The sequence below is a fragment of the Homo sapiens genome, chromosome 9, assembly GCF_000001405.40.
Source record: "Homo sapiens chromosome 9, GRCh38.p14 Primary Assembly".
Lineage (NCBI taxonomy): Eukaryota > Metazoa > Chordata > Mammalia > Primates > Hominidae > Homo > Homo sapiens.
The window spans coordinates 105,372,987-105,397,962 of NC_000009.12; the positions used below are offsets into that span (position 1 = coordinate 105,372,987).

The 24,976-nt window shown below is 37.2% G+C and overlaps 1 protein-coding gene across 8 annotated transcripts in view; it reads left to right on the plus strand.

Annotated features, from left to right (window-relative positions):
- SLC44A1 (solute carrier family 44 member 1) overlaps window positions 1-24,976 on the plus strand; it is a 193,854-nt gene that overhangs the window by 128,336 nt on the left and 40,542 nt on the right. For 3 of the 8 annotated variants that reach the window (NM_080546.5, XM_006717028.4, XM_047423117.1), the window contains 4 exons: window positions 1,612-1,749; window positions 10,137-10,373; window positions 12,436-12,516; window positions 16,047-24,360. In NM_080546.5, coding sequence (NP_536856.2) covers window positions 1,612-1,749; window positions 10,137-10,373; window positions 12,436-12,516; window positions 16,047-16,070 — 480 coding nt within the window. In that variant the 3' untranslated portion in view covers window positions 16,071-24,360. Of the gene's footprint in view, window positions 1-1,611; window positions 1,750-10,136; window positions 10,374-12,435; window positions 12,727-16,046; window positions 24,361-24,976 lie in introns of those variants that run through there. The other 5 variants (NM_001330731.2, XM_006717029.4, XM_005251855.5 and 2 more) reach the window with 3 other exon arrangements.

Consider the following 24,976-nt stretch of genomic DNA (forward strand, 5'->3'; position numbering starts at 1 on the left):
TCAGTACAATACTCTCTTTGGCTCTGAAATGTTCTGCATTTTTAATCAGTGAATTTAATCATATAATGGCAAGTTAAATTTTTGGTAATTCAAACCTCATCTTCATTACAGACTCCTAATAACTAACAAGCTTATAATTAGAATATTCGTAAATTGTAGACTATCTCTCCTGGGCTCAGTGGTTAAAGCTTTATAGACAACACAGTATAAAGTAAGCCCTTTATCTCCAACAGTTTCCCAGCAATCTCAACATTTGGGACCTAGAAACAATTTAAGTCAGCACTAAACCCAAATTCCTCAGGACCAAAAGTTTTAGTCACAAAGTTCATATACTTTTCCTTCCTAAGACTCAAACATATTTGATGTTATAATACTTTTTCACATTTCCCAGAAAACATCAATGCTGTTCTAGAATGTAACATAAAAAAGAATGGAAAAAAAAATCAGTCTGTGACTAGTAGGTCAAAGAGCACATGGGGCAGCAGAAGCAGGTATAATTGAATGAAAACGTGTCAGCTAGAACTCAGTATTTTAAGGAACAGAAGGCTCAGCTCAATCTGACCTGAACAAGGGAGAGGGAGGGGAATGTGGAGCAGGGAAGAGCTGGGATTCTTAGCAATTTATTAGCTTCTATAACTGAAAAGTTCAGAAATCTGGCAAGTTCCCAATGTCCCAACTGTCACCAGGTTGAAGTACCTGGTTCTCCCTGCTCTGACTTCATGGTGTTGGCCTCACCCTCAGTTTTACACTGTGACCTTCAGCAGCTCTTCTCATTATGTTAGCGAAACAGCTATAGCCATTCAAACCCTCACACCTTCAAGAGAACCTATGGAAGAGAAAGAAAGCCTTTTTTTCCCAGAAGCCCCAGGGAACATCACTTTTGCTTTCATTGGCTCTGATTGGTTTATTCACCAATTCTGAACCAATCATTGTGGCCAGTAGGTATAGTATGCTAATTGGCTTATGTCAATCAAGACCCATCCCCAGAGCTGGAGGTAGTGACAGTCTCACTGGGATTGAGACAGGGAATGGGGTAAGACTGTTTTCTCAAAAAAGATTTAGGGTTCTGCTCCCAGGAAGAGTAGTGGTATAAAATGCCAGCCATCAAAGAGCTATGTACTACAAGAGCTGTGAGAAGTGAGAGGATAGAAGAAAGCCACCAAGGAGGAGATAGTGGATAGTCCAGATAAAACACCATAGCAATCTGATGCTCACACCTGCCTCTTCAGCTTTTAAAGCATCACCTAAATGATTACAGTGCACTGCTGATGTTCACAGTCACAACCCTGAGACATCTAGGAAAGATTAAATTATGTTTGATTTACTAAAACAGGGAAGAAGTTAAGGGGTGTTAGAAAGGTTTGTGTATGTTTTAATAAATAACAATGTTTTTAAAAGAACCAAAACTAAGCCAAATGGAAAGTTATTTTTACCATATGAGGCTTTAAATCTTATATTTTCTTGTACTCAGTCTCGATCTGTACCTCATTAAAGGGTGCCATGTGTTTGACTGAAATATTTTTAAAAGCTATGTTTTAGCTATGCTCAGTTTCTATCTTAACAAAGGAAGTTTCAATTGTTGACGAAAATGTTGTTTTTGCTTTTGTCCAGAATGCATACACAGCCACAGCTATCAACAGCACCAACTTCTGCACCTCAGCAAAGGATGCCTTTGTCATTCTGGTGGAGAATGCTTTGCGAGTGGCTACCATCAACACAGTAGGAGATTTTATGTTATTCCTTGGCAAGGTAAAACCAAGTATTTTTTCTGCAACATACAGTAAAATTTTGCATATATTTATTTGCTCTTTTATTTTAAAAATATTCAGGCCACCAAAAAACTAAAAGTAATATATAGCGAGTACTTAGAAAGCCCTTACTGTGTGTCCAGCATTGTGATAAGTACTTGACATATATTGTGCTCATTTAATCCTCACAATAAATTTTTAAGGTAAGTTCCATTATTATCCTCATTTTACAGAGAGGGAAACTGAGGCATGGAAAGGCTAGGTCATGTGCCTATGTTTCTCTTTCTGTGTTGTTTTTTTGTTGTTGTTTGTTTGTTTGTTTTTGAAACGGAGTTTCGCTCTTGTCGCCCAGGCTGGAATACAATGGTGCTATCTCAGCTCACTGCAACCTCCGCCTCCTGGGTTCAAGCAATTCTCCCGCTTCAGCCTCCCGAGTAGCTGGGATTACAGGCGTGCCACCACGCCCGGCTAATTTTTGTATTATTAGTAGAGACAGGGTTTCCCCATGTCGGCCAGGCTGGTCTCTAACTCCTGAGCTCAGGTGATCCAACCGCCTTCGCCTCCCAAAGTGCTGGGATTACAGGCATGAGCCACTGCACCCGGCCCTCTTTACGTGTTTTGAACTGTAAAGAATTAGGAAATAGTCTTCCTCCAGGTTAGTGGTACTGCAACTGGAGCCTGACTGCCTGGATTTCAGTTCTGACTCTATCACTGATAGTTGTGTGACCTGGGCAGGTTAGATAAGGGAATCACTCTGTGCCTCAGTTTGCTCATCTGTAAAATTGGAATATAATAGTGCCAAACTCCTAGGGTCATGAGATTAATGCATTGTTAATACATGTAGGGTATCTAGGAGAGTGCTTGACACATTTTAAGTTCTCAGTGAATGTTAGTTGTCATCATTATTATTACAGTATTATATATAAGCCCCTTCAAAATAGAGCTGTTAGAGAACGAGACTTATACTTTCCTTAGAAGTGTCGAACAAGAGGCATTTTATTCTATACTATTAAAATACTGCAAAATATTCAATAACATAATTAGATTTCATTGTATCTGAGTATTAAACCATAAAATGCTCAGAAAATTTTTTAAATTGAGGAAAGAGAAAGGCTTATACTACCACCACTATAACTAAATAACTTATTTCTATATAATTCTTCCCATTTTTTTTTATCGGCTTGTATTTCTATAGTATAACAATCATAGCATACGTACCTGTTTGTCCCGCCCATTTCTCTTTACATTACATCATATACATTTTCCATCTTGTTTTGATAATCTTCACAATTATTCATTATTACCATGGTAAATATCCACCAAATACTATTTGTAAACATTCTCTTACTATTGAACCCTTAGGTTGCTCTAGCCAACTGTATTTTTTAAGTGTTTTTGTAAAGAAAATATGTTTGGCATGGAGAAGTATATATAGCATTGTGTGTGATGAAGTGGGTCGGGTCTCTACAGCTGATTCAGAATTCACCATCTTTATTTTTGTTTTTGTTTACGTATTTATAATTTATCCCTACAGCTAAGAAAGATATGAAGCAACTTAGAATAAAAGTATATATATGTATACACACACACACACACACACACACACACACACACACTACACACACACACTACACACACTGCTTTTTTTTTTTTTTCCAGATGGAGTTTCACTCTTATTGCCCAGGCTGGAGTGCAATGGCACAATTTCGGCTCACTGCAACCTCCGCGTCCTGGGTTTAAGCGATTCTCCTGCCTTAGCCTCCCAAGTAGCTGGGACTACAGGCATGCACCACCATGCCCATCTAATTTTTGTATTTTTAGTAGAGACAGGGTTTCTCCATGTTGGTCAGGCTGGTCTCAAACTCCCGACCTCAGGTGATCTGCCCACCTCGGCCTCCCAAAGTGCTGGGATTACAGGCATGAGCCACTGCCCACGGCGTTTTTTACAAAGGGAAATAAGAAGCCATTTAGAGGAATAAGGGAGATACTAAAAGTGGCAATATTTGATGACGATGATTTTAGTAAACTCTGATTAAGATACTTTGGGTACCAGGCAATGAGTGAAGGGCTTTTGTTAAGTGTTACATTTGGTCCTCCCCTGTAAGGTGAGCTACTAGTATTATCTTTGGTTTTCTCTACTCTAAAGTTTAGAGAAAAATTAAATTGGCCAAATTTAGAGAACTAGAATGTGGCCGTTCAAACTCAGGTCTGTCTGACTTCTAAGTTATTAATCACTGTGTGCTATAATTGCCTCAGCTGACATTAAATTTGTCCTTGGGCCTTTTTAAAAATTTTTTTAAAAGCCTTTTGACTCAGTAATTCTGAGTCAATGATAAGCCACTCCTGGTAATAGTAACTGCAACAAATACAGCATTATTTATATAGTGACCAATTGTAAACAATCTGATGCCTAACAATAGAGAAATGGTTGGGAATAATAGTCAATAGACTGTTATTCACCTACTAAGCCATGTTTTTTATTAAGAGTTTACAATATGAAGAAATGCATATAATGTAATAAATGAAAAAGCTGAGTAAAACTACTGGGCTTTAGTAGTGTTTAAAAATGTTTATAAGAAAAAGAATGGAAATGAATATCTCAAGATGTTAACAATGATTGCTTTTGGATATTGAAAATATAGATAATTCCAAACCCCTACCCCACTTTATTGTAGTAAGATGATGTTCTCTATATTGAGTATGCATTATTTTTTTAATGAAAAATAAAAAGATGAGTTGGGCGCGGTGGCTCATGCCTATAATCCCAGCACTTTGGGAGGCCAAGGCGGGCAGATCACCTGAGGTCAGTAGTTCAAGACCAGCCTGGCCAACAATGTGGTGAAACCTCATCTCTACTAAAAAATACAAAAAAAAAAAAATTAGCCGGGCGTGGTGGCGAGTGGCTGTAGTCCCAGCTACTTGGGAGGCTGAGGCGGAGAATCGCTTGAACCCAGGAGGCAGAGGTTGCACTGAGCCGAGATTGCACCACCGCACTCCAGCCTAGGCGACAGAGCAAGACTCTGTCTTAAAAAAAAAAAAGAGAAGAATATAAAGATGATAAAACACAATGTTCTAAAATTGGCTTTTTTTAGCAGCCTAGTGACCTGTTAAAACTTTTTATTATATCTTTTTATTCATGTCTTTATAGAGTGTCTACTAGTAATGTGGTAAGGACTGTTACAGGTCCTGGTTATATACTGATCAATACATAGAATTTAAAATCTAGTAGAGGGCCGGGCACGGTGGCTCACGCCCATAATCCCAACACTTTGGGAGGCTAAGGTGGGTGGATCACTTGAGGTCAGGAGTTCGAGACCAGCCTGGCCAACATGGGGAAACCCCGTCTCCACTGAAAATACAAAAATTAGCCAGGCATATAGTGGTACATGCCTGTAATCCCAGCTACTTGGAAGCTGAGGCATGAGAATTGGTTGAATCTGGGAGGTGGAGGTTGCAGTGAGCTGAGATAGCGCCACTGCACTGCAGCCCGGACGACAAAGCGGGACTCTGTCTCAAAAACAAAAACAAAAGAAACCTAGTAGAGAAGGCAGTTTTGTATACCTCTTTTCACTTGGTGTTACATTATGAGCATTTCTTGTTTTCTTAACACTTTTCTAACTATGGTTATACAACTGTTGTGTCATTTATTTAATCAATCCTCAGGTTTTCTGTTTTTTACAGTTGAGCTGTGCTCAATTTTTTACTAACCTAAAGCTTGTATTTGTGTGTAAATCTTGCCCACATCAATCTTTATTTCCTGAGACCAGAATCCTAGAATTAGAATTAATTAGGGTTCTTGATGTGCATTGCCAGATTGCTTTCCAGAAAGATATATTTTTAATAATGTAATATTTATAATATTTCAAATGACTTTAAAAACCATAAAAGATAAATACATTTTTTTAATTGAGAAATTCAGAAAAGAGAAAAATAAGAGGAAGAGAAATCTTCTGGGTTTCTAACATTTTAATATAAATGTTCTTTAGTTTTTCTTTCCTAAAAATATAGTTCTGGTCATAGAATACAGTAAATCTTTTGAAAAGAGTTTTTCATTACAATTCAATGGCTGCTAGCATGCAGAATTTGTTTCTAATCAGGTAGTTCAACTAATAGATCATAATAAACATTATAAAACATGATGCCAGAAATGAATTGTTCATATACATATCAACTTGAATGAATCTTGAGGGAATTATGCTGAGCGAAAAAATCTAATCCCAGAAGATTAATTCCATTTATATAATAGAAATGACAACAGGGCTGGGCTCTGTGGCTCACGCCTGTAATCCCAACACTTTGGGAGGCCAAGGAGGGTGGATCGCTTGAGCCCAGGAGTCCAAGACCAGCTTGAACAACATGGCGAAACCCCATCTCTGCAAAAAAATACAAAAATTTTCCTGGCATGGTGGGGTGCGTCTGTATTCCCAGCTACTCGGGAGGCTGAGGTGGGAGAATCGCTTCAGCCCAGAGGCAGAGGCTTCAGTGAGCCGTGATCACACCGCTGCATTCCAGTCTGGGTGACAGAGCAAGACTCTCAAAAAGAAAAAAAGTAAAATGACAAGAGTATGGAAATGGAGAATGGATTTGTGGTTAGAGATCGGGTTGAGGAGGAGGGGAAATAGCTGTAAAATAACAAAGTGAAGGGTTCCAGTGATGATGGATATATTCTGCATCTTCACAGTATCAATGTCAATATCATGGTTGTGATATCAGTATGCTATAGTTTTACAAGATGTTATCATTGAAGGAAGTTGGGTAAAGGGTACGTGGAACCGTTCTACTATTTCTTACAACTGCATGTGAATTCACAATTACCTCTAAATTTTAAATTCAATTTTAAAACTGTGAATTTAAAAATAAAAAAAAGACATCATTATGGGTTCCATTTCTATGGTACTCTAATAGTTTTTATGGAATGTGAATTAGATTTGTAAGGGACCTTAGCTCTTCTAGTTTAGTGACTTGTAACATATGGTCACTGGCCAATAGGGTCCTAAAGGTAAGAATAGAGGTTTATAATCCAGTTTAAATATTTTTAAGTATTGATATTTGTCCTAATAAAGCTATCCCAAAACCCCTCAATCTCAAATTCCTTTGCTTCTGTGTGAAATTACTTTACTTCCATTTGGTAATATCTTTTCTCACACTAATTATATCTTCTAGTTGACAATTTATTTGACTTGGGTTAATAAAAATTGAGAATATGAATTATTACTTATAAATGCTATTTTATTTGTAAATAATATCTTTCAAAATGTAGGTTCTCTAGAGAAAGAGCATCATAAATGTTGCACTTATGATGGCAAGAAAAGAAAGGAAGGGAGAGAGGGAGAAACATTGCCAGGCATTGCATTAAATACTTTTAGAATGCTTATTTTAACAATCGTGGGATGTATGTATTGTTATGTCTCTTTTAAAGATGGAAAAACAGGCTCAGAATGGTTAAATGAACTTGCTTAGAGTTACAAAACTAAGTACTAATTCCGTAATTCAAATCTACATCTTTCTGACTCCAAAACTAGTTTCCTTTCCTTCCTGCTTCCCACATCCTACCTAAAGCATGAATCTCTTCTACTGCATTCCAATAATTTATCCTCTAGAACAGGAACGTCTATTTTTTTTTCTTTTTTTTGAGATGGAATCTGGTTTTGTGCCCAGGCTGGTCTTGAAGTCCTGGGCTCAAGCAGTCCTCCTGCCTCAGCCTCCTGAGTAGCTGGGACTGTAGGTGTGAGCTGCCATGCCCAGCTAGGGATCTCTTAACTTCTAAAGTCATGCGCCCTATTAAGAAAAAAGTTTGATCACAGTTGTTCAATATATTTACATTTATTTATCAAATATTTATCAAATAAATGTAAATATTTATATATATATAGCTGTTACTAATATATGTCTTATAAAGCATACGAAAGAAGACATTTTAAATGTATGAGAAATATAATAGAAGTCCCAGGTGATCCTGTTAAATACTCCCTAGGACGTGGGTATCTCCATCCATGTGGATCTCCATCCACCATGGAGATCACTGATATAGACCAGTACTTCTTGAGACATAGTCTTTATCAGCACCTGGGATACTTTTTAAATGCAAACTACTGGGCTTTATCATGGATCCAACCAACCAGACTCTGGGATTAGGGCCCAGGAATCTGCATTCTTAGCCTTTCTACAGTTTGAGAACCATTAATGTATCTGTTTGAATAAGTGCATAACACTCTTTCATTATATTTGGGAATAACTACTACATTTTTTTGGCTAAACATCACTAATTGTTGAAGTTACCTCCTGCATGAGAATATCTAAACTTCCATCTCACCAGCTTTTTGTCTCAGCGTCTAGTTTGTTTGAGCCATACCTTTTTTCTATAACTAACTTTACCATTTCAAAGGGGTTTAACTTTTAATGGCATGGTGAGAGCATGAAGAACCTCAGCCCTCCAAGAGGGTGAATGTGCAAGATTTGGAGAGTATAGGAAATAACTCACTCTAAAATTGAAACCAGGAGAGTGGAAGAAAATTGAAGTAATGACCAGGCGCGGTGGCTCACACCTGTAATCCCAGCACTTTGGGAGGCCCTGGCGGGCGGATCACCTGAGGTCAGGAGATCGAGACCAGCCTGGCCAACATGGTGAAACCCTGTCTCTACTAAAAAATACAAAAAAAAAAAAATTAGCCAGGTGTGGTGACGAGCACCTGTAGTCCCAGCTACTTGGGAGGCTGAGGCGAAGAATTGCTTGAACCCAGGAGGTGGAGGTTGCAGTGAGCCAAGATCATGCCACTGCACTCCAGCCTGGGCAACAGAGCAAGACTCTGTCTCGAAAAAAAAAAAGAAGAAAAAGAAAAGAAAATAGAAGTAATTAACCATCTATGGAAATAACCCCAGAAAATGAGAAAGAAAAAAAATGGAAGTAATTAACCATCTATGGAAATAACCCCAGAAAATAAGTCACTATAAGAGAAGATTCATAAGTGTGTTGCTACAAAAATGGTGGGGAGTCTTCCAAAGCTTGGGCAGACCCAGATTTGCTCCCTAGAAGCATCTGAGAGAGGGATCAATTTATAGCTTAACCAATGTATCATCTAATGCATTTTAACTCCGAGTTAAGATAATGGTGAATGAGAAATGCCTTGATGTTGATAAATATTGGAGAAAATGCCAAAGAAGAATTCATGGTCTGCCTATTATTCTTAATGCTAGACAAGAAGAGGCTGCCATGATTCTAGGGGTCTCTTTTTTCCCTTTACTTAAAGCCTTATACAAGACAAAATAAAGAGCTGGGAAAGAGTGTGTCTAGAATTCAGTAGAATCCATTACTGCTGTGGATCAATATCCAAATATTTCTGAGTTTTTATCTGAAAAGAGCACTGGAGTTGACATCATAAGACCATTATTTGAGTAGGATCTGTTCTTTTTTCCTACTTTTATGACCTTGACCTTGGATCTACTCTTTTTTTTCTACTCAGGTCGGGTGGCATCTGTAAGTGTGTTTCCAAGGCTATAAAATGGGATGATAATATTTGCCATAAACCATTCATAGGGTTATTGAAAAGCTGGAATAAAATGTATTTTAAAAACCACAAAAAATTTAAAATGCTGCATGTGAAATAAGCATCAGAGTGGGTGGTTCTTGACAATAACTAAATTGGCTATTTCTTTTATTCTTTTAGCATGGATGTTTTTGGCAACCTCTTTCTTCACAGAGAGTCCAAATATACACTTCATGGCAAATTATATTTACCACATATTCTATGTGAAATAAAATACGAAACACAGAAAAAGTTCTAAGACTATACATGTTTGTTGCAGCATTATTTATATCTGAAAACAATATAAATCTCTAACAGTAAGAGAATGGTTACATGTATTTTAAATCACTCATAAAATGAAATTATGTAGCTGAGTAAATATGAAGCATTTATAATGATACTTCTATGTATATTAATGAAAAGCTTATAGTGATTTGTTTATATAATACTATTTCATATATGTGAAAATGCTTAGAAAAAATACATACCATTACACTGAAATATCACTTTTTTTCTGAGTGCTAAGAGTTTGTAAATTTTTTCTAAAATATGCATACATTTATCTTAAAAATTGCCACAGATTCTAAATAGATTAAGTTTTAGGGTGCAGCATAGCATTTGGAAAACTTAATTATGTTTAAACCAGAATCATTTAAAGTATGATTTTAAAATTTATATTATATGATAAGCATGTATAACTCTGGGTGTATATGAGAATATGTGGATTATATTTCCTCATTTGAGATGGAATGGCCTCATGCAACCATCATTTATAAATAGTAGAATTTTAAGTCTGCAAATGGTGAAAAAAGAGTGGCTTTCTTCAGTAGGATATTAAATATGATCTTTGTTCTCTCTGCTTCAGGTGCTGATAGTCTGCAGCACAGGTTTAGCTGGGATTATGCTGCTCAACTACCAGCAGGACTACACAGTATGGGTGCTGCCTCTGATCATCGTCTGCCTCTTTGCTTTCCTAGTCGCTCATTGCTTCCTGTCTATTTATGAAATGGTAGTGGATGTATTATTCTTGTGTTTTGCCATTGATACAAAATACAATGATGGGAGCCCTGGCAGAGAATTCTATATGGATAAAGTGCTGATGGTAAGTACTTCAAATGCCGTTTCCTATTTTAGGGATAAAAATACCAATAAAAATATTTTGTAAAACATTCTCTATATTTAATTCACACTATATGCAACTGAGTAATTTAGAATTAACCCCATAGCACTGACTCATAAATGAGGTTAATCTAGGGTAAGTCAGGGAGGACGGCTTCTTGGCATGGACAAGATCATTTCAGATCCACCTAGCTAGAGCAGTACTGGTTAATAGTCCTAAGTTCACCCTATTCTTGCTGCCCCTCTCTCTGTAGTTAGATAGATTTGAATTGACTTTTTAAACTAGCTTCTAGCCTTTTCCTGAAATGGGGCTCAAAGACAAAATATCCTGTTTCCCAGGTCCTAGTGCCTACCTGTCTTTCTCTATCCACCACTGCCCCAAACATTACTGCTGTCAACCCTGGTTAAAACTCATTATCTTAAATATGGTAGGCCAAATTGAAAGCATTTTGTGATGAATACCGATAACAGACCCATGACTGGTAGAGTGTATAGTTATTTATTAGTCAAGATCTGAACCTTTACACAGATATATGCAGATTTTTCATATTAGAACCTCAATTAAATTTCTTTAAAATTTTGAAAACCTTATTAAATGGTTTAAGTACTGTTATAATCAGTGTTAAATGTTACCAAAGTAAAGATGCTTTCTAAATAATAGTAGTTTGCTATTAAGCTGTGAAATATTTCTATCTCAAAATGGGTAATATTGAATACTAAGCATTATACATTGAAATAACAAGTCATTTTCCAGGAGCATATTTTATCCAGTTAAATCTAAAATAAGTGTATTAATAAATAAGCTAGATTTTTTTTTTTTTCTTTTTGAGACGGAGTCTTGCTTTGTCACCCAGACTGCAGTGCAGTGGCATGGTCTTGGCTCTGCAACCTCTACCTCCCAGGTTCAAGCAGTTCTCCCTCAGCCTCCCAAATAGCTGGGATTACATGCATGTGCCACCACTCCTGGCTAATTTTTGTATTTTTAGTAGAGATGGGGTTTTACCATGTTGGCCAGGCCGGTCTTGAACTCCTGTCCTCAGGTGATCTGCCTGCCTCGGCCTTCCAAAATGCTGGGATTACAGGTGTGAGCCTCCATGCCCAGCCTAGATTTTTTTTTTCTTTTCAATAGCAAGAATTCCAAATGATTTAGCTGACCTATTTGGCACTGATTTTCTCTTTTTCTGGCAACATCAGCTAAATTCTGGACATTTTCTTAATGTCTAAACTAATTCTAACTGGTTATTTTCTTAATGGAATTTGATCATGATTATTGTATCTCTTTTGTGACTAAAGCATTTAGAAGAGTGTTACTGTTTTTTAAGTCACTGATCAAAAGCAGAGTAAAAAATAACTGTTTTCCACCCTTCAGTTTTCTCTGTAGGAATGGTGAGGATATTTAATGAAGAAGTTCCCCGTAAACGTTGACAGAATAGAAATGTTCCCTTTGGGCACATTCCCATTTCGACTACTACTAACCATAGGTTCTGGTTGATACACCCTGTCTTCCTGCTTCATGAAGTAATGTCATGGTCAGATTGACACTTTTTTTAAAAAGAGTAGTTTGTTTATGGTTTGGTTAAGAAAAAAAGCATTATGTGCTTAGCAGTATCAATGTGTTCTTTTACCTTCTATGGTTATTTAAAAGTGGAGGCTTATGGAGTAACGTGTTCTTGTTGTTTCATTTAACCTTGATATAGAAAAAAACAACAACAACAAATAAAATGATATTCTGAGTATGAGAAAATAGCCTCTTAAAAATGTTAGGTATTTTCTCTTCCAGGTAGAACTAACATTATCTCTTGGAGCCTTAGTAAGATTGTCACAATGAATGGATGGAAAGAAGATTTTTTTAATCAGCGAATTGCAGAGTCCATTTCTACAAATTTAGCAACTCTCATGTGTGATACTAAACATTATTTATTGCTATGTTTTTAAGCCATCCATTTACCAAGATTGAGTCAAAAATGTAGATGTTCTTTAGAATTCATCTACTAACAAATCTGAAAGGACCCAAGAATTTATTCAATATGGTCCATATTTTGCAGGAGTTTGTGGAAAACAGTAGGAAAGCAATGAAAGAAGCTGGTAAGGGAGGCGTCGCTGATTCCAGAGAGCTAAAGCCGATGGTAGGTGGAGATGAGGAGGTGGCCGCCCTCCAAGAATTTCACTTTCACTTCCTCTCTCTCTCTGTCTTCACTGACTGCACTTCTTCAGGAGAAGCTTTTGTTATCTGTATCACGCAGGACATGCTGCTCTTTCTGTTTGTGTGCTTACCCATCACTTGGATGGCAGAATTCTTGTCACAACTGAGACCACCTTCTATAAAAGTAAGCTGAAAGGAACAGCATCCTCGTCAGTGCTCGGCAGGGGCGGGTAGGGGATGATGGTTTTTTCCCTAAGGTAAAACTGCTGTTGCTCTTGTTTCCTTTTTAACTGTCAGTGTTTGGCTTTCATCAGACTGAACATTTTGGTGTACACTTGAACTGACGGTTTGATTTTTATCATTTTGGAAGGTGATCATAGCAATTCCTTTCAACTTGCTAAAATTCATACTCCCCCTTTTAAAAGTATGGTTCTGCTTACATTGCTGTCCTTTTCCCTTGGCTGACTTTTTCTTCTGTTGCCTAGGTTGTACTTTCTTTGTTTCTTAAGCTATTTTTCAGTAGCAAACAAGGCTGTTTTCATCAATACCCACATTCCCACTCAGTAAGACAATCTAGTCTTCTCCCAGTTTAATTGTGAGATGGATAAATTATTTCTGGTAGTTGATATTATATATGTATATGTACACAAATATATCTCTCTACTCCACTTTTATTTGAAAAAAGCAGCTTAATGAGTGTAAGAGAACCTTGAGCTGCTTTTCACATGGATATTGTCACTATAGCATAGAAACAGATGCCTCTATCATATATTGGTCTAATTACTTCCTAATTTAAACACGTATTTTTTTAAATAGCATGTTTATTTTCAAATATTATATAATTGTCTGCATCCTTAAATAATTTTAAACAATGTGTCCCCTGACTGCATATAATGTTCAAAAGTGTGAGGTAAGGACTTTCCTTTCTGTCTTCTTTACACTTTAGTAAATGATTTGATTTATAGCAAGTTTGTCCAACTTGCTGCCTGTGGGCCGCATATGGCTTAGGAAGGCTTTCAACACAAATTCGTAAACTTTATTAAAACATGAGATTTTTTGCCTTTTTTTTTTTAAGCCCATCAGCTATCCTTAATGTATTTTATATGTGGCCCAAGACAATTCTTCTTCCAGGATGGCCTGGGGAAGCCAAAAGATTGGATACCCCTGATTTGTAGGTTTTCAACTTTAAAATATATGCTATAAAATAAGTTCATTTAAGTAGGCTAGGCATGGTGGCTCATGTCTGTAATCCTAGCACTTTGGGAGGCCGAGGCAGGTGGATTGCCTGAGCTCAGCAGTTTGAGACCAGCCTGGGCAAAACGGTGAAACCCTGTCTCTACTAAAATACCAAAAAAAAAAAAAAAAAAAAATTAGCTGGGCATGGCGGCGTGTGCCTATAATCCGAGTTACTTGGGAGGCTGAAGCAGGAGAATTGCTTGAACCTGGGAGGCAGAGGTTGCAGTGAGCCAAGATGGCGCCATTGCATTCCAGCCTGGGCGACAGAGCGAGACTCCATCTCAAAAAAAAAAAAAAAAAAAAAAATATATATATATATGATATAAAATAAGCTCATTTAATTAAGAGTAAAGGAAATAGGTTTATTTTTGGAGGGAGGCAGGGAGGCTATATGTATATTCAAACTAATCGCATATTCAACCTAAGTTAAAGCCTCAATAAAATATTTAGATATAAAACCTTTCCTCTGTAACCCTTTCCAGTGCCTATTTTGGTGTTACTCTTACTTAATAGCATGAATAATTATAAAATCAAATTTAAATGTTTAGAATCCCAGAGCACAGATCACTCTAGTACCCACATAGCTCTGAATTTTAAGTTTGCATCACCTAGACATGATTGCTTGGGCAGATGGAGGCACACCAGTAATCTTCCCATCAGGTTCCATGCCTGCCCTCCACACCTTTCTGTATCCCTCTTATTTCACAAAAGCTGAGGAGGGCAGCAGTGGAGATTCTGCCAACCCTATGGCAACATGGAGAAATGAGGAAGGCTTCCTTCCTTCTACTGCTTGGAGGTCCTAATTGTTCAGCAAATCGATTCTAAGCCCAAAACTTAACAAGACATATGAAATCTTAAAATATAAACCAAGCTTTTCCCCCTTTTCTGTCTTTCTAGTGATTGAAGCTTTCATTACATCATTCAGTAATAAGCATTTAAAGAAAGGGAGAAATATTTCGAGGTTGAAGACTAGGTAATGTGGCCATGAGTTGGCACAGATTTCTATAGTATTCTTTAATGAATGGTAGATGAATTGTAGTAGATCAGAATGCAAGTATACTTTCCTTACCTAAACTCCTAATTTATAGGTAATAATCCTGGGAGAATTGCCCAGGTTATGTGGCATTCTACCAGATGCCAAATATTTTAGAAAGAGTTGTTTCCTATTAGTATTTTCAGTTTTGAAATAGTGTCCCTTACTTCAAACAATGCATTAAAATCTTTATTTAATTTTTGCTTTCATTTTATGCTGTTCATCAGTTCATTGCTTGCAGATTAATGGCAAAAACCCTCTGCTGCATCCCAAAATACATCTTCTATGTGCATTGTTCTGGTGCTTTGGACATTGTAGCATTGGGTCCCTAAGAATGATGTTTTAAATGGTTAAAAAGTTCCCAGAAGACAAGTGTGAAATGCTGCTCACAGAGTAGTTTTATTTTTTCAGCACCTTAGTACCTTCTTTATTTCTCTTCCATAGTATGCATGATTAGAGTTGGCCCCTACTAACACCATTCCTTTGCATGTGTTTCTAAAAAAGTATTTCAGAAATTTCTACTGAAAGTTTGGGGATTGATAGAATTTAGGATTGCTTATTTGTATTTGCTTGATATAATTCACATATTGTTGCTGTAGATGAAAGTTCTATAAAAGAGCATCATGCCTATTTTGCATTAGCTCTAGAAACATTGCTGCTGTTTGAATTCACTATCTTCCTCCCTCCTCAATGAGATATTTTAATTTAGGCTTCATTTTTAGCCTATAAAATAATGTTCAGTAAAATGAGGTTTTATATTTTCCTTTTGACAGCAGATCATTGAACTAAACATGAGAACTTCCGGTTTTGTTCTTGAACTTTTCCCTGAGAGAGGCTCGCTAGTTAAGGAAACTTTAAAGATTTATGAATTTTTTTATGATTCTCTGAAAGTGATTTTGGAAAAATGTACCAAAAGTGATGAAGAGGTTTAGGAAAGAGATTTTCTGACTGTCTGCTTGCTATCATATAGGAAAGAACTTAAAGAGAAAAGGGAGGAAAAATCCTAGACACTGTAGGAACATGGGCCAGAGAAGTATGCTCTGTGTATCTCAGAGATGATCCTGGATAAAGTGTGACTTTCAACATTCATAAGAATTTCAGCTCCAGGAATTCAGGGGAGAAGGATTCTCAGTCCATTTTGCTGTCTTGCTGTTTGTGACCATGTGTATATTTGTAACATCATTCATGATCTCCTTTTAATGGTAATTGTCTAAGATTATACTCTGTATGACTTTGTTTTCTAGGCTTCGGGAGCAAGTTCTGCTTGAACCTAGCCGACGGTTATGGAAACCCATTGACATTCCAAAACAATATATACACATAACTATGTATTTGTGTGTGTGGGTGTGTGTATATATGTATATGTATGTGTGTATATATGTATATGTATATACACACACACACATAAATCAGCCAAAATCAGAGAAAAGGAACAGGGATTTAATACCTTTTTTATGCTTATTTTTGTCAAACATGTACTCCTTTCATACGGGTGGCTTTTACAAGGCAACTTCCGTCATTTAATGTTTTCAACTGTAATTGTCTTAATGGAAATGTTAAAATTCATATCTGATTAACATTTTTAATAACTTAGAGGAGATTTTAACTTTATTTAAAAATAGGTAAAATTATTGTACCTAATTATGTCTAAAGTTTATTCAGGGGTAATTTCCCTGATGTCTGTATAAAATCAAGATCTTATTTTACTGATGCATAAGTCCTAGTGGGTCAAGACTAGGCATATGCTTTCAGATAAATAAGGAATTACTCCAATCAGTTTTCCCCAATCAAAGAAGCCATGTCATTTTACTTTTAGAAACATACAATTGGGCCCAATATGGGAATTTTCATAATAGTTCATACATTTGTCAGCCAACATTAAAAGGTAACCAACTCCTCAGGTATTTGTAGTTTACCCTAACGCTTCTTTAAAAGAAAGTAGGTAAAAAAAGAAAAGGGTAGATAATCTTTCGTATGCAAACTTTTCCCTTATATTTTGTCTTTCTTTCCTTTTTGACTTTAGTAGCATCCTCCACACATTTGTGTGCCTGATTTGAAAGGAAGCTGGGGCACCCAGCGAGTTTAGCCTTTAAGTTTCTGTGTATTGATTTGCAGATTAAGTAATGCTGGGAGGAATAAAGAAGGGACAGAAACATGGAACATAAAGCATTGAAAATTCCGGTGCTTGGGCTTCGGCTTCAGAGTAACGTCAGTGGCTTAGGGTTAAACGGCCATTTTATTCAAATGCTTGCTATACAATCTGAAAACACACTGGCAGGTGCTCCTCTCCTTGGCAATTCATTGAGTATCCAGAGTTCTACGATGTTTAACTGAAGAATTGGCTAATGTTTTGATCCTCCAGTGTGACTGTTGTTTTTGTTTGGGGGTGGGTTTGGGGTTTTTTGCTTTTTTATTCCTGAAGCTTACCAGATATGAATGGCTAATACTCCATTGTTCTGCTTGTTGTAATGGTGAATGCTTTAAGAAAAAAAAGTGTAATTTGCTAAGAATAATTCATGATCTGTTTATGCGATAACTCCTTTTTGTTACAATTTTTTTAAAAAAAGCTATTTTTGTTAATGTAAAGTAAATATTTCAGAGCAAATTTTTTAAACTTATTGCACTAAATACAGGCTCTGTACAAAAAAAAAAAAAAAAAAAAAGCCTCAGCATTTTATCATTCCATGGAAGGAGAATCTTTTGAAAGAAAGCATTGCCTCCTACCAGAACTAGACAGTGAATTAGATCGGTATTATGGAAATGCATACAAGTAATGTCACTAGGGCTTAATAAGCAGCCGTTTGCTAATGTGCTTCCTTTCAAAGGGTTGGACCTTTAAATTGCTGCAAAAGGTAAATTGTATTTTTTTTTAAGTATTGGTGTTCTTTACTCTAGCTAGGCTAAAATTTGCTAAATGCCTTGGTTTCTTTTAAAAGTTCATGTAATATTTCTGATTTTTCAGAATATTTGCAATAAGAGTCTGGATTTTAAAAAACACATGCATACACACAATTAAGAGCTCATGTCTTAGCAAGATCTGGGAAACCAACATTGCGAGAGTAGCTATTTTGAAAGAATAATTCTCCAGAAGTTAACATCTAATATCTAGTATCACCAAACAGTATCGCTGTTCTCTTTTATTCATTTGAAATGAATATAATTATATAACTAACAATTGTCCAAATAGATGAGAGAGCAAATCATGTGAGAAAATTCAGAATACCATCTGTTTCATAGCCGCACAGATTTTGGACTTTCACAAACATTGGGAACTAAATTTAGAATTGGCAAAAGTCTAGAAGATGGGTATCAAAACAGAAGACATTCCAGGAGCTAGCAATTTTAAGAGGTGTCCCTCCAAAGTGACCTGATGGAAGTCCTGAACTTGGAAATTAGGTTCTACTCACTTGGACATCCCTGCATCATGGACTGTTGCTGCTCCCTGTTCCATATGCTCGCAATCTCAGCTATTTGGAAGCTACCAGGAATGCTTTCTAATTATCATTTGCAACTAGAACTGTAATCAGAAAGAAATTTTGTATTTTTGTATAACTTGATTGTGTGCCATTTTATATAACAGGTCCTGTTTTACAAATAAATTTTGTTTTACTAACATTGTGTTTAGAAATTATAATCTATGTGTAACCATGTCATTTGAGTTGCAAATTAATTGCCAGGCTGTTTTCCTTAAGTAAATTCATGTGCCGTGTAGAAATATGCAGATATGCATTACACAGGCACACACAGAGAGATATTTAATATGTGGAATATCACTCTTTCATGAGCTTTATTCCTTGATTAATTTGATAAAGCCTCACAGAGGATTTTAAGCAATATTTAAATGTGTTGAGGTTATGTTTGGATATTCCTGCTGCCTCTTTTCATTCATTTCAAGTCATTCTTCAGCTAGCTATGGGCTGCCTTATTGCTATTCGCTCACTGCTTCCATCTTCTGCCCAAGTGAGAAGAATAGATGAAGAACAGAAATTTCTCTGTGAAATGTGGATACCCGAATAATTTCATAAATCATTGATTCTATGTGGTGGTTTTTGTCTTCTTCTGTGGTGAATCTTCAAAACTGTATTCAGGACTCATATTTCTAGAGTTTTAATTGGGGTCCTCTATTGTCAATTGTAGTAGTGACCAGAGTATCGTGGTTTTTGCCATCAGATAATTAAGGCTCTGGTGCATAATTTAGACTTTCTAAGCTCCTGCCTGAAGAATAAGGTCTTCCATAATATGGAAGAGAAAAGTTATATTTCAGTGTAAATCCAAGAGACCCATCTTCTATGAGAGGCTTACCAGTGCATTAGTAATAAAACATTAGCAATTTAGCTAGAGCACTGAGATTGTATAATCCTTGCATGGATGAGCAGAGCTCAAAGCCAGTTGTTCCTTTAAAGCATTTAATGCAATGGCTAATGTTTAGGATTAAAGTTTTTATTTTATCCTATAAGATAATTAAGTCCTAAGTCACTACAACTTAAGTAGCTTAACTGTATGTTGGTACCCAAACTTTTTCTATAATGGTTAAGGAGGAGGCACTTACTGAGTTTATTTTAAAGTTATGCTAGAAATGTTTTTCTTTTGTAGAGATGCTCTCTCTCTCTCTCTCTTTTTTTTTTTTTTTTTTTTTTTTTTTCCGTGAGGGCATTAGGCTGCTGATTGTAAGTTATTTCCAATACCACTGATCTTGGTATCTGCCAAGGGCTTCCTTGCCTTCCCTGGGCAGTTTTAGGATTTCACCCTAGTAGGGGGTATGAGGCACTGACCCCTTTATTCTGGACCCAAACTGCTTTAGAGCAGAGTTAATACCTCTCCCTCCCTCTTCAAAACAGCTACAGGAACTGCAGGCACCACATATGTGTGAGGCCACATCACTGCCCCTGAGGCTTCAACTATTTCCACCATGCACTATTACTAGCTACTAACAGCCATTTTAAGAGATCTCCTAGCCTGCAAGGTAGAATTCTGGGATCAGTTCCAAAACCAGAACTGCCAGTAATGGTGACTTGAATATTTTATTTGATTTTTGGTCAGTAACCTTGTCATTTAAATTGGACTTTCCAATAGCCTTAACATGGCCTCTGAGAAGTTTCCTCCAGAAAGGTCTTTAAGCTTTCGCTTTTCAATAAGTAAGTTCTTTACTGCTTTTCTACTGCTACTTTAAAAAAAAAACAACAACAACAAATAAAACTCTCAGAGTCTGGAGGCTTATCAGTGCACCTGCCACAGTTAATTTCTGTATTCTTTTCATACATTCCATCTGACACATACGAGTGCACTATAATGGCTTGCCTAGAACTGGTAAGAAGTGGTCTGTGAATGTATATTGAAAAAATGTGGGTTCATAAGTAAAAGCGTAACGCAGATATTTGTGTATTCTGTATTCACAGCGTAGGCTGCCTTTTGCTTTAAATGCATATTCATGTATCTTTGTGTGCTAAGAATGCATGTTAGCCCTTTTGAAAAGTAGGCACTATTCATACACAGTAGCTTCTTGGAATTAACTCATCTTTGTTAACTTAGTGGCACATAGTCCAAATTTTTAAAAAGCAAGACCCTTGAATATGCCAAGAGAAAATCTAAAGCTAGCAAACTTAAAAAACAAAACAAAAATTACACGTCGTGTACAGTTATGAATTTAGAATAGCACACTTTTTCCATTCAGATTTCATACATTTGAGCCAAATTCTTATACTCCATGTTTTAATTTTAAAAGGATAATTTTAATCCAAGATTTAAATCTTTGAAAATATCTTTCTTATAGAAAACTTTAATGCAGTTTTTAAACTTACTGATTTCTGTGGAAAACCTTTCTTTTCTATAGAAATACTGTAGTGCCCTTTCTTCCCATCTTGATTTTGTACATGTAAAGACAAATGATGATTCAGTTTCAATATTGCATGAACAATTGCCACTTTGTAAATTATATGGACAGAATGTGTTCTAAGGAAATTCGTTAGTAAATTTGTGAAAAACATGTGAGATTGTTCGAGACCTATTAGGCTATTCTTCAGTTTTGATGCTCAGTTTTACAACTTAAATGATTTTCTCCAGGACACGGAGCTCAGAATAATAAAGCTTTTATTAATGGTCTAGTGAAGATCTAGTTGAACATGGAAACATTGTAATTTACAAATGTCTCAGAAATTTCTCACTTTTATTTGCTAAGACCTGAATTTAATATTTGATATTCAAAAACAAGTTATTTTGAAGAGACAATGGGTCTCTTTGAGCTTAAGAAAGCTATGGACTATCTTTCCTTCAAATGCACATCACATGTCTGTGAACACTCAAAATGCTCATAGAATTTCAGGGCCCTCAGACGGCCAGCTTCCACCCCTGTACCCCCTCAGGGGCTAATGAACCCAAGTCAAAAGGCTGCTCTAAAGTTGTTCTGATAATGTGTTTTGAAATGAGGAAGTGATTAGGCCTCCACTAGAGATACTTTTGAGATGATGCTTACCACCTTCTGACCTGGAATCATTTTTATAACTTAAAGACTTTATGTAATTTAGTAGCAGGTTAGGGAATAGAAACCACACTAATCTGAAGGAATAACAAGATGATCAACACTGAATCTTCATGACAGTAAGATTTTCTTTCCTTGGAGGTATGAGGGTGTGTATGTGTGTGTGTGTGTGTGTGTGTTTGTGTGTGTGTGTGTGTGTCCTGGCGGTTATTTGGGGGCAAGGTACCAGATTATTTGCAGTGAGCCAAAAAAAAAAAAATATCCAAGAAGAAATAAATAGGGAATCCTTGTAATTAATCCATCTACCAAAACACTTGATTCTTTTTATTGTAGCTCAGCTATGACATTATGACATTATGTGGCTTAGTGTTATCAGTATACTACTGTCTTAAAATATATTTGTCAACATGTCCAGTTCCAACAACAGTTGAAGATGATGATAAATTAGCAAACTCAAGGGTAGTCCATAGTTGGCAAAAAATAAATTTGGTAGAAAGTTGGAGGAGCAGATGCTGAAGGTAGAAATGCAAAAGATGTTTTTTCTTCCTGCATAAATCACGGAGGTGTGTTCTGTTTTAGTGTTTTCCAGTCACCCACTAGAGCAGCTTCAGATTCCTCTGCCAATAGAACTCCACCCCCAGTCCCTTACCTACTCTATCTTCTTTAGGGAAGCATGTGGATTTCTTCACATCTGCACCTTACTATTAGGTAAGGGTGCTGCATCTACATGGAAGGCTCCCTGGGCCCTTGAAAAAGCAGGCAGAAACTCATCAAGGGGTTTGAAGTTCTTGTGAAATTTGATCCCAGTGGCTCATGACTTATAGTCAGGCATCAAACCATTTCCTACTTTTTCAGGCTGAAGAAAGTGGAAATATAACTGGCTGGTGAAGAAAGGAGAAAAGTCAGCCCCCTACCCCACCCCACACTCCTAGAAAAGTTTGGGGGTTTTTTTTGTTTGTTTTTGGTGTTTTTTTGAGACGGAGTCTCGCTCTATCGCCAGCTTAGAGTGCAGTGGCTCAATCTTAGCTCACTGCAACCTCCACCTCCCAGGTTCAAGTGATTCTCCTGCATCAGCCTCCTGAGTAGCTGGGACCACAGGCATGTGCCACCACACCCAGCTAATTTTTGTATTTTTAGTAGAGACGGGGTTTCACCACGTTGGCCAGGCCAATCTCGAACTCCTGACCTCAGGTGATCCACCCGCCTCAGCCTCCCAAAGTGCTGGGATTACAGGCATGAGCCACCGCGCCCGGCCTAGAAGAGTTTTAATGAACCTTCCACAGTAGTAAATGCAGAGACCACTGGTGGAAATTCCCATGTTGGATAGAAAAGGGCGTAAGTCCAGTCTAAGTATCTAAATGTGATATGCCCTTTTGTCACAGAAGTGTAAGACTTAAAGGGAATATTCTGACCTTCGTGTATGAATCTGATCCACCCATCCTGTCAGCTAGGATTATAATTTGAACTGTCGTTTCAGGAGCATGTGTTAAATCATATGAGTAAAAAAAAAGTAGACATTGAAAAGAAGACTTGGGAATAATTGGGCAGATAGAATGGGTTCCATGGATCATTCTAGTTGCCACTAGAAAATGTGAGCTCCTTCTTCATTTACCATGTTGATAATCCGGTGGTGACTTTTTTTTTTTTTTTGTAAATTGTATTAGATACCCCACAGGAATGTGACAATAATAGGATAGCTTTGGGGGCTGGTGATTTGAAACAGGGACTATTAAGTAGATTTTCCCCCATCCTCTAGGTTCCTGTAGTCTGTGCTCAGAACTTGGTTTTTGGCCCCTATTGTTTTTGCCTATTTTGATTTTCAGAGATGATCACATGGGGACAGTTAACTTTTCTTCTGCTGTGTTGCCTTAATGCTACTAGATTGTGTTGTGTTGTTGGAGTTTTCTGACTTCTTCCCTATAAAAAGATACTGAGAGCTCCATAATGAAAGAAGTTGTTATACTTTCTCAGAATATTCTGGACCACTGAATGCACTTCTAATAGAGCTTTAATCTAAAGAAGTTAGTTCAGTGGTTATTAACTGATTTTATTACAGGAGAAAAAAACTTTAACAAAAAGGCAGGGAGAAAAGTGTGAAGGGCATCAAGCAAAATGACAGGGGCTTCAAAAAACAACCAAAGACAAAACCCTATCTTCTGAAGACCAAAGGTCCAACTTTACTTACTGGCTGGCACAGCCTTTCTGAACTCCTTGAGTTTAGAATAGAGCTCCTAGAATAATAAGGCGGCCAAATTTAAAGATCAGTCAATACAGTAGGGACCTGCTATTGATCTCTCAGGCACTGAGTCTTCACATCCAGTGTCAAGCCCAGCCCAGCATATGGGGTGATATGAGCAGAAAACACACATCGGTGTGTCTTGATTTCTCGCAGCTGTGTAATGTGGCATGAGAAGTATGTTTTGGTGCCACATATTTCTCAATCTGATGCCTTTTTGTCTTTTTTTTTTTTTGCCATTTGCATCCTATTTCATAGTGCCAAAATGAATTTTTGTATCTTGTCTTGTCTTTGTCCATTATAAACTGGAGGATCACAGTTAAGCCTTCCATGAATTCATAGTTTGGAATCATTTACCTTACCATTATTTTGGATTTTTTTCTTATTACAGTGTCACTACACTGTATTCATGTGGGGGAACAAACATGTAGGTGCTTGAACATGCCCCACAGACACAGTTGTAGCCCTAGTATTTGTGACGGTCATTATTGACACAGTGCAGACTTTGCAGATGGAGCATTATGCTCTCAGAGGACTTTAAAAATATGTATATTAAGCAATTAACTTTCTGGAGTTGGAGTTATCAAATCTTGCTGGGAAATTAACTTCCAAGAGCTCTGAATTGGATGGAATTCCATCTGGCTTCAGAGAACAATCAGCCTATATGAAACGGAGCTTTGAAATGTTTTTCTTGTGCAGAAATACGAACTAGAAAGAAAAGTGCTGATCTAATGCTAAGTTTTCTCTGTGTACTGACTCAGTTGCCAGAATTATAATGAAAACTGTATTTTAGTCTAACAAATGTATAGAATTTTTTATGTAATAAATAAAATTTTATAGGAAAGAATGTTATTGTCTACTGTGTTGTAACACTTCCCCATGCCCAGGGTGGTGACTGATAAAATCATGGGCAACATCTTCGTTTCAAATTAGGTCAGTATGCTGCAAGGGTGCCCCAGAATTTCCCAGCTGTTCCTTTCTGTCTCTCGCAGCATGTTCTGGGGGCTTCGGAATAGCAACTATAAATGTACCTAAACCAATTTCTGAAGTACAAAGTTCATCCACTGCCAGGCCAGGCTTCATAGCTGGAGTCTGAGTTGCCGCGTGAATGCTAAGATTGCAACTGAACTCAATCATCAGGCAGAGTAGAAAAGCCTCCACTGGGCCGGGCGTGGTGGCTCACGCCTGTAATCCCAGCACTTTGGGAGGCCGAGGCGGACAGATCACAAGATGAGGAGATCGAGACCATCCTGGCTAACACGGTGAAACCCCGTCTCTACTAAAAAAAATACAAAAAAATAAGCCGGGCGTGGTGGCGGGCGCCTGTAGTCCCAGCTACTCGGGAGACTGAGGCAGGAGAATGGCCTGAACCCGGGAGGCGGAGCTTGCAGTGAGCCAAGATCGCATCACCGCACTCCAGCCTGGGGGTCATAGCGAGACTCGGTCTCAGAAAAAAAAAAAAA